Source organism: Homo sapiens, chromosome 12 (genome assembly GCF_000001405.40).
Source record: "Homo sapiens chromosome 12, GRCh38.p14 Primary Assembly".
Lineage (NCBI taxonomy): Eukaryota > Metazoa > Chordata > Mammalia > Primates > Hominidae > Homo > Homo sapiens.
In genome coordinates, this window is record NC_000012.12 from 71,654,299 (window position 1) to 71,663,915 (window position 9,617).

The 9,617-nt window shown below is 38.4% G+C and overlaps 1 protein-coding gene across 2 annotated transcripts in view, besides 1 other annotated feature; it reads right to left on the reverse strand.

Annotated features, from left to right (window-relative positions):
• The window catches only part of ZFC3H1 (zinc finger C3H1-type containing), a 54,250-nt gene extending 44,700 nt beyond the window's left edge, over nt 1–9,550 (reverse strand). Inside the window, exons 1-2 of one of the 2 annotated variants that reach the window (NM_144982.5) lie at nt 8,715–9,550; nt 2,587–3,003 (exon numbers count right to left, since the gene is read on the reverse strand). In NM_144982.5, the coding sequence (NP_659419.3) occupies nt 2,587–3,003; nt 8,715–9,312 (1,015 nt within the window). In that variant the 5' untranslated portion in view covers nt 9,313–9,550. Of the gene's footprint in view, nt 1–2,586; nt 3,004–6,072; nt 8,525–8,714 lie in introns of those variants that run through there. The other variant, XM_047428485.1, reaches the window with a different exon arrangement.
• Nucleotides 9,173–9,292: an enhancer, noted in NCBI's record as "active region_6659". NCBI's record gives its function as "activates an Ori minimal core promoter by ATAC-STARR-seq in GM12878 lymphoblastoid cells {active_cell/tissue: GM12878}" and the evidence as "EXISTENCE:reporter gene assay evidence [ECO:0000049][PMID:35858748]".

The window sequence follows — 9,617 nt, forward strand, 5'->3', positions numbered from 1 at the left end:
GGCATGGTAGTACATGCCTGTGGTCCCAGCAACTCAGAAGGCTGAGGTGGGAGGATCACCTGAGCCCAGGAGGTCAAGGCTGCACTGAGTCATGATCATACTCCTGCACTCTAGCCTGGGCAACACAGTGAGATCTTATCTAAAACACACACACACAGAGAATATATTTATACATATATAATTCCAGACATGATACAAAGAGTGAGCCAAGAAAGTGCTAAATATATAGGCAAAGCTAAGCAAATATCATTCTTTGTATTTCGGGGAAAGAGTAAGGTTCCTGATTAACTTTAAACACTGGTAGGAATATAAGACCAGAAATTTAGTATCCAACTTCCAAACTAGCAAATGAAAAAAAATTGTGTGAAGAAAAATAAGAGCCTAAAAAGAAAAAAAAGAAGAAGAAATAAAACCAAATGTCAATAATCATAAAAAATGTGAGTAGACTATACGTTCAAGCTAAAGGACAAAGATTGTCATACTGAATTATAAATTAAAACCAGCTCTATACTATGTACAAGTAATATCCGAGACATGAGGATACAGAAAGACTGAAAGAGTGGGAAATTATATAAAGAGAAAGATGATGTGGCTATTAATATAAGACAAAATAGTCTTTTAGGCAAAAACATCAGAGATAAAGTCACTACATAATGACTCAATTACCCACCTTCAAAGTATTTAAAGCAAAAAGTAAAAATCACAAATCCATCATCATACTGGCAAATTTTAACAAACTCCTCTTAGTAACTGATCAAGCATATCAAAAAATAAAAAAAGTGAACAACACAAAAAGCTCAAGTAATCTATAAATTCATTTCAAACATACACAGAACTCTTACAAAAAACTGATTACATACTGGACAATAAAGGAAGTCTCCAAGTATTTCAAAAGATTGGTTATCATAGCAATCTTATTTTCTGACAGTATGATTGACTTAGATATCAATAAAAAATACTGCTAGACAACCTACATGTTTAGAAGAAACATACTTCCAAGCAGCCTACAAGTCAATGAAAAATAAAAATTAGAAAATATTCAGAATGAATGAAAAAAGTTAAATAACCCAACTTGAGACAGAACTAAAGTCAAACTTTATGGCCTAAAATGATCTTAATAGGAGAGAGGCTGAAAACTGAGTTTAAAAACTTATGTACTTATTTCAGGGTAAATTAAAGAAGAGAGCAGGGAAAAAAAAGGTACAACTTATAAATACTACAGATAAAAAAGTAAAGGATTCTTAAGAACAATTTTTATAACTTCTGTAACTTACAGGAAATAGACACATTACAAAAAATATAGAGTTTACATAAACTGTCTTAACAGAAATAGAAAACACGAAGTTAGATTAAAACTTTCTCAGAAAAAAACTCCACCCAGGCCCAGACACTTTTATCAGCAAGATCTACCAAGTATCTCAGAATGTTTCCAATCTTAAACTATTACAGAGAATAAAGATGAAAACAGCCCCAACTAATTTGAGTATTATAACCTTACACTAAAAACTGTCAAGGAAAAAGAGGGGGGGGAAATTACAGGCTCTGAACACATAAAAAATTCTAAACAAAACACTAGCAAACCTTCATTTGTAATAGCCGAAAGTTGGAAAAACCCAAACATAATTGGGAAATGGATGAACTACAGTATGATGGGATACACAGAACTACTGACATATACAATTACATGAATGAATTTCAAACACATTATGCTCAATGAAAGAAGCTATAATGAAAGGCAATATACTGTATGATTCCATTAGTGTGACATTCTGGAAAAGGCAAAACTATAGGGACAGATCAGTGGTTACCAGGTGAACTAAGGGCTGAGGGACGGGATAACTACAAAGACACTTGGAGAAACTGTTTGAGGTTGATGAAAGAATTCTGTATCTTAATGGTAGCTGGTGATGGTTACCCACTGTCTACATTTGTCAAAACCTGAAGAACTACACACTTATTCATTTATAATGTTAAAAGATAAATTTTACTGTATATAAATTATATCTTAATAAAGAGGAAAAGAAAAAACAAGCCAAATCCATGATTTAAAAATGGTATATCATAAACTGTATTAAACGCAAGCATACAAGGGTGGTTTAATACTAGAAATAAATTATATAATTCATTACACTAACAAATTAAAATAAATTAGATGCTCATCCCAATAATGAAGAAAACAGATTTTGTAAACTTCAACATCCATTCACGCTGAAAATTTCAAACCAGGAATAGGAGTAAAACCCTCCTTTACCCGATAAGGGATACCTACAAAAAAATTAACATCATATTTAATGGTAAATGTCAAAACCATTTTCTTTAAATTAGGAAACAAAGGTGTCCACTATTATCACTTATGTATAACATTCTATTATAGAGGCCAGAATGTCAGGCAAAAAATAAATAAATAAATAAAGACTAAAAGTAAACAAAATTAGTAATTATTCAATGATATGAATGTCTACATAGAAAGTACAAAAGAATTTACAGATAATTACAATCATTTCAATGAAGTACACTGCCAAAACAAGTAGTTACTACTTTAGAGGAAGAAGAGTCATTACTAACTGAAATATTTAATTCCATTACCTTGACTAGAATCAGTAGTGTCGGATTTCAGGGAAAGTGGTTTTGCTCCATCTTTAACTTTTTTCAAACGGTTCTTATCTCCTGGTAAAGTCAATTTTTGCCTGAGTGGTTTTAATTCAAATGCCTGAAAAGTTTTGACTTGTGTTTTCTCCTCAGGAGCTACTTCTTTACTTGAATCCTTTGTAATACTGACATTATCAGTGCTAGTTTGGTCCTCGAAGTTCAATGTTTTAGGATCTTCCTGCACATTCTCTTCTTTGCTACTCAATGCTAGTTTTTCATCCTTATTGATGCATTCTAGTTCCAACTGTATTTGTTTATACTTTAAAAGCAAATCTTCAAAAGTTTCTTCCACACAGTTTTCATTTTTTGATGAATAATTTTGTTTTCTTGATGGAGACCTTCCAAAACTTTTGGCTGAACAGCATATTAAGGAAACCAGTTTCCAAAAATTTTCCACAGTTAAATTTAACAAAAAAACTTAGATTATAGATGAATTTTCTCCCTTTTTAATTTTTCAAGAAAAATGAATCGATATTTTTAAATTACTAAATTCCATTTAATGTATGTGCAGCTAATGCCCACTTTCATTACGTGCCCATATTTGAATTTAGTAAGTACCATATAAACAGTCCACTTACAAAATCACTAGTGTCATAATTACCAGTAGTATCCACAGACAGTCCACCTAGTTAGGTTATAGCATCATTCCTTCTGTGCCAGGAAAGTCCATAATTAGCTGTATGTTAGAGATTATTTTCTGAAGGAAGAGGGGAGAAACTGAATGCTTTGTCACAGATGCGGATAGTTTACACTTCAGGGGGCCAGGCGCGGTGGCTCACGCCTGTAATCCCAGCACTTTGGGAGGCCGAGGCAGGAGGATCACTTGAGGTCAGGAGTTTGAGACCAGCCTGGCCAACACAGTGAAACCCCATCTCTACTAAAAATTAAAAAATTAGCCAGGCGTGGTGGTGCAGGCCTGTAGTCCCAGGTACTTGAGACGCTGAGGCAAGAGAATTGCTTGAACTCAGGAGGCGGAGGTTGCAGGGAGCCAAGATCACACCACTGCACTCCAGCCTGGGCAACAGAGGGAGACCTCATCTCAAAAAAAAGAAAAAAAAAAACACTTTAAAATAGTACTCAAAATATATCTATTTTTCTCCTACAGACAAGGGAAAATGTTATGAAAATAATCTGAAGCAACTGTTCTTACTTTCTTCTCTAACACAGTGATACACAAAAGGTAACTTTTTCCTTAGAAACAGCTACAAAATTTCAAACTACAATTTTTATTCTAAACAATTCATACACGAGAATTGTTATACCTCATTTTTCCAGGCCAGATATTAGCAAGAGAAAAGACAGTACCTCCTGTGGTTTTAATACATCATTTATAGATTTTTTTTTTTTTTTTTTTTTTTTGAGACAGAGTCTCGCACTGTCAGCCAGTCTGGAGTGCAGTGGTGCGATCTCGGCTCACTGCAACCTCCGTCTCCCAGGCTCAAGCAATTCTCCTGTCTCAGCCTCCTGAGTAGCTTGGATTACAGGTGCGTGCCACCATGCCCAGCTAATTTTTGTATTTTTAGTAGAGATGGAGTTTCACCATGTTGACAAGGCTGGTCTTGAAATCCTGACCTCAGGTAATCCGCCCACCTTGACCTCCCAAAGTGCCGGGATTACAGGTGTGAGCCACTGCACCCAGCCTATAGATTATTTTCAGTTGGCTAGGATGTAAAATACAGTACCCCAAATACGGTTCTTCTGTTTAAACACCTCACAGGGCAAGCAGCAGAAAAGGTTTTTAAACTCTCCTGATGACCAGTTCTAAAAATGAGAATTACCATCATCTAAGAAACAAAAATAAGCAATAAGTACATCTGAAAATCTTAACAGTTCTACAGCAAAACTGTTCTAGTAAATCTCTGGTTCTCTGATCTCTTCAAAGCCAAGTATCCTGAAAGAAAACTAGTTTCTCTGTACCCTTCTTACCAAATGGAATCTGGTTTCTGTCCCATTAATCTAGAGAGACTGCTGTGGCTAAGTTTCCCTATCAATGTTTTCAAACTTTATTTTTTTTTACCTGACCCCTCTGAGAATCTGACACCATAAACCACTTCTCTCTTGGCTTCCATAACTCCGCATCTCCCTTTGTTTCCCTATTTGTGTTTTGTCTTTTAAGTCTCCATTGAGTCTTTTCTCTCTAACTTGTGAAATAATGGTGCTCTTCAGGGAGCACTACTTAGCCTCTTTCTCATTTTGAGCATTCTAATGCACCTCCACAGTTTTACCTACCACAGGAGAGTTTACCCTGGTGATAAGATATTTCTCTTATCTCCTACAAGCCATCCTTCATACTGCTGCTGCCAGAGTAATCTTTCTAGAATACAAATATAAGATCATTCCCCTTGTTTAAATTTCCCTAATAAAAAAGTCCAAAATCCTGAGAATAAATATAATCTGACCTGTGCTTTCCTTTCCAAACTTACTTTTTCCTTGTTCATCACAATTTTTGCATAGCTTTGTGTCTAAGTTTGTCTGTTCTTCAACTTAACCCCAATTCAAGTGTCACCTCTGTGAAGCCTGAGTTTCTCACTCTCCCTTCCCCTCTTACACACTCTTTGTATGTAAGTTCTGTAATTATCTGCATTTACATCTTACTTTTCACTGGAGCCATTTAAAGGCACAACTGCAATTAAAAAAAAAAGAAAAGAAAGGGAAATGATTAAATACACTAACAAAAATGCTAAATAGAAAAATAAGGAAAAGCAATTGAGTTACAACTATAACTGACTAATCTCCTTCAAGGCTAAAGAAAATCTATCCCTATCTATACAGAAGCCTAAGATCAAACCAACACTTACCAGATTTAATTTTAAGCTTGTCAAGATACAATTTCTAACTGAACCTTGGTTTAAACAAAAAGAAGTGCTATTCAACCTTTTCAGCTGCAGCTGAAAATGGAATGACTTTTTACTGATGAGAGACACTAGCCTAATTATGTTAGCTCTCCTCAGATTTGAAAGTTTAAAAGAGTAGTCATTCAAGGGAGACATGCTAAGATGTACTGACAAAGTGTCTATCATTAAGAAAAATTAAGGGTGAAAATAAGAACTGCAATTGAATCTAGTTTATTCTATTTCTTTAAAGTTGCAACTAGCATATCTTAGTTATTACAGTGAAAGGAGTTATGGCAAAAATAGAAATAAACCCTATACTCAGGCTACTTTACTTCTAAATTACAGAAATATGCCACAGAGTAACCTGCATTCTTTCTTTATACAGTATTTGTAAAATAAAAAAGGTATTATTATAATCACATAGTGGAAATATGAATTAAACTGAGTACAACCTTGATATTAAATAAATTTGAATGAAGTGTTGTAACAAATATTTTGTTTGCTCACATTATATAAAAGTAGCTGGGAACTACGTTTTCCTTCTCAAATTCTTAAAAAGAACACCACCTCTAGGATGGATTACTGATACTTCATAGGGAAAACAATGAGCAGGACATCAAAACAAGCATCCTTTTAAGTGCAGCATCTGTGAAAAGAAAAACAACAAGATATCTTATTTATGACAAGTTACTACGGAAATCAAAGTCACACAAGCAGACTGGATATTTTCTGGTACTTTTTTTTTTTTGCAACATCATATGCCAGTTTACTAATAAAAACATGCAAGCTTACCAATTAATAAAGGTCTATGGTAGAGGCCCAAAATAGTATTGAATAAACACGCAGAAAGAGGACAAAAGCAGAAAGCCCACTCACCTCCCCCTTTTCTAATACAGAATAAAAATTTTAAGAAAAACCTTTGAGCTCCCATAGTACTTTTTTATATACATACTTCAGTTTCAACTTTTTATACTAAACTGCAACTACTTATTTTCATTTGTTTCCCTAATACAAACTACAGGTTTCATCTTTGTACCTTTAAAAAACACATATAAACTGGTGGCTCTCGCCTATAAATCCCAGCACTTTGGGAGTCTAAGGAAGGAGGATCTCTTGAAGCTACAAGTTCAAGATCAGCCTGGGCAACATAGCAAGACTTCGTCTCCCCAAAAAAAAATTTTTTTAAATAAATTTAATAAAAATTTTTTTTAATTAAAAAAATTTAAAAACCATCCACATTGGCTGGGCACGGTGGCTCATGCCTGTAATCCCAGCACTTTGGGAGGCCGAGGTGGGCGGATCACGGAGTCAGGAGATCGAGACCATCCTGGCTAACATGATGAAACCCTGTCTCTACTAAAAATATAAAAAATTAGCCGGGCGTGGTGGCGGGCGCCTGTAGTCCCAGCTACTCGGGAGACTGAGGCCGAATGGCGTGAACCCGGGAGGCGGAGCTTGCAGTGAGCCGAGATCACACCACTGCACTCCAGCCTGGGCGACAGAGCGAGACTCTGTCTCAAAAATAAATAAATAAATAAATAAAAACCATACACATATATATGCTTAAATAGCCTTTCTGGCTTTTGGATTCAAAATAGACCACAAATCCATGGATTAAGAAACACCGTGGGCAGAGGTTTTCTAACCTTCTTGGAAGAACCATTTGCTGGCTTTTAAAAAGTTAAATATCTATATAATTTTCCTTTTTTTTTTTTTTTTGAAACGGAGTCTCGCTTTACCGCCCAGGATGGAGTGCAGTGGTGCAATCTCTGCTCACTACAACTCTGCCTCCCGAGTTCAATCGGTTCTCCTGCCTCAGCCTCCCGGGTAGCTGGAAATACAAGCACCCAACACCACGCCTGGCTAACTTTTTTATTTTTAGTAGAGACAAGGTTTCACCATGTTGGCCAAGCTGGTCTGGAACTCCTGATCTCAAGTGATCCACCGCCTCGGCCTCTCAAAGTGTTGGGATTACAGGCGTGAGCCACCACGCCTGGCGCCTACATGATTTTCTCCGAAACAATCCTGAAATACTCCTAACCCAACTTTTGGTTGCAGAAGTAAGGTTTTTCAGGGAACTAGCATCAGAAGCTGCTGTTTCTCACCTAAATGTACATTCCTTGCCCCTTTTACATCATGACATTTGAGAAAGACCTATTCTGGACCTAAGTGTTCTATAAAAGTAATTCTGATTGTCTTCCAAATAACTGTCATTACTTTTAAGTTTCATATATAATAACGAAATTAAAAATCATCACACTATGTGAATTACAACCAGTAATGAAAGTCTTTAAACAATTTTTGCAATGATCACAGATTAAGTCAAGATAGTGTTTTACAAACCCATTATAAAACAGGAAACCTTCGGATGATTGATTCCTCTGTATAAATGCTGAGTAAACTCAGTAATGTTTAAAACTGAGAATAAGGTTAGAAGTAGGAAAAATCTGGAATGTTACTATTTCCTTTCTCAACTTACCCGTAATCTCCACCCTCGCATACACATTCCTCCACTCTAACGTATTAAAATAAAAATGCTGATAAGTTTATCTTTCTCTCTCTGGCCCTCATTTAGTCAGCACGAAGTTACACAATGTGCAAAAGTGAACACAGATAGAAACGTAAAGGAGGTAAAGTGTTCCAAAAAGATCAAATGAATCAAAAAGCTCTGAAACAGACTTGGTAAAGACACCAGAGTTGTTTTTTTTTTACCCCTCCCCCCCCCACTTTAAAAGGCAGCAACCGGAATAAATCAAGATAAAAACAGAATCACAAAAATAGTGCAGGACTGTGCAGATTAAAACTTTACAATTTTCAACGTCAAACTGCAATATGATAAAGCAACAATATTACTTAAACTGTTTATGAATATTTTTTCTCTAACAATCCAAGTCAACTTCATATAAAACACAAAGTTTCTGTACCAGCAAAAATACAAATGCTAATGAAACTTGGGCTTCTAAGGTATTATTACAAATCAGACTTAACTGTCTTAGATTTCATAAGCTTAACCCAATCCACAGCACGTTAATATACCCAATGAAGCAGTCTTAAGAATAACGCTATAGTGTGACACATGGGGAATTACCAAAGAACAACTTAAAGTATACTGACACAGGGAGAAATAAGCGGTTCTGATGATTCAAAGTTACACTCGTCTCACAGACCTAGTAATGACGCTAAAGGGAACTTTAGTGACACACCCAGCGCCGACCGCCACGTTAAGGATACAGCTCTTCCGAGGTGGAGAGGGCTCTCGCCAGCTCTGACTGCTGCTGAACCCGGATCCTGCTCCTCCTCCCAGAGGAGGTCTGCACCCCGGCTTGCCTCCTCGCTCACCCACTCCTCGCCCCCGACTCCAGCGACTCCCACCCCGGTAAGGCCTGCCTCGAAAGCGGAAACGGTCCAAGGCGAGGTGGCTCCGCTCCCAGAAAGACGGCCGGGGACTGCTTTCGGACAGTGAGCTCGAAGGCATCCGTACAGAAGGCGGATGAGACCGGAACGGTTCTTTGGGTCGGTAGCTGCTGGGTCCCCTGAGGTGGCCCCGCTCAGACGCGTGCCGCGAGCGTGAGAAATTCCTCAGCTGCTGCTGAGAAGAGGACGATGACGAGGAAGAGCCACCGCCTCCGCCAGATCCACCGCCCCGGGCCGAGTGAGGAGGCCTTCGCCGCGGATAGGGTAACAGCCCGCCGCCGCTGCTGCTGCTGCTGCTCCGACTCCGTATCTGGCTGTTATTATCGTCGTCACTGATTTCCCCATCTTCAAGCTCCCCTTCTTCCTTCGGCGAGAGGCCACTGGAGGCCGGGGCCGGAGTATCTGCGGTCGCCATCCGGGGAGCAGCGCCTTCCACACAACCTTAGCCCTCCGTCCGGGGATCCGCCCGACAATTGCCTCGTTTCCCTTCTTTCCTAACGGACTGGGTCGGTGCGGTCTTACCCTACTCGGACACCAAGCGGCCTCTGCTCCCCAACTTCCCCGCACCCCAGCACCCCAGCTCTCTCTCGCCGGACCGTCGCAACCCAGTTCCCTTTCCTAGCGCCCCCTTGCTCCTCAGCGATCGGGGTTCTTCCGCCTCGCGAGAAAGGGACTCTGGTAGCGGCTGTACCCGAAACGTCACTTCCTGCGACACGCAGG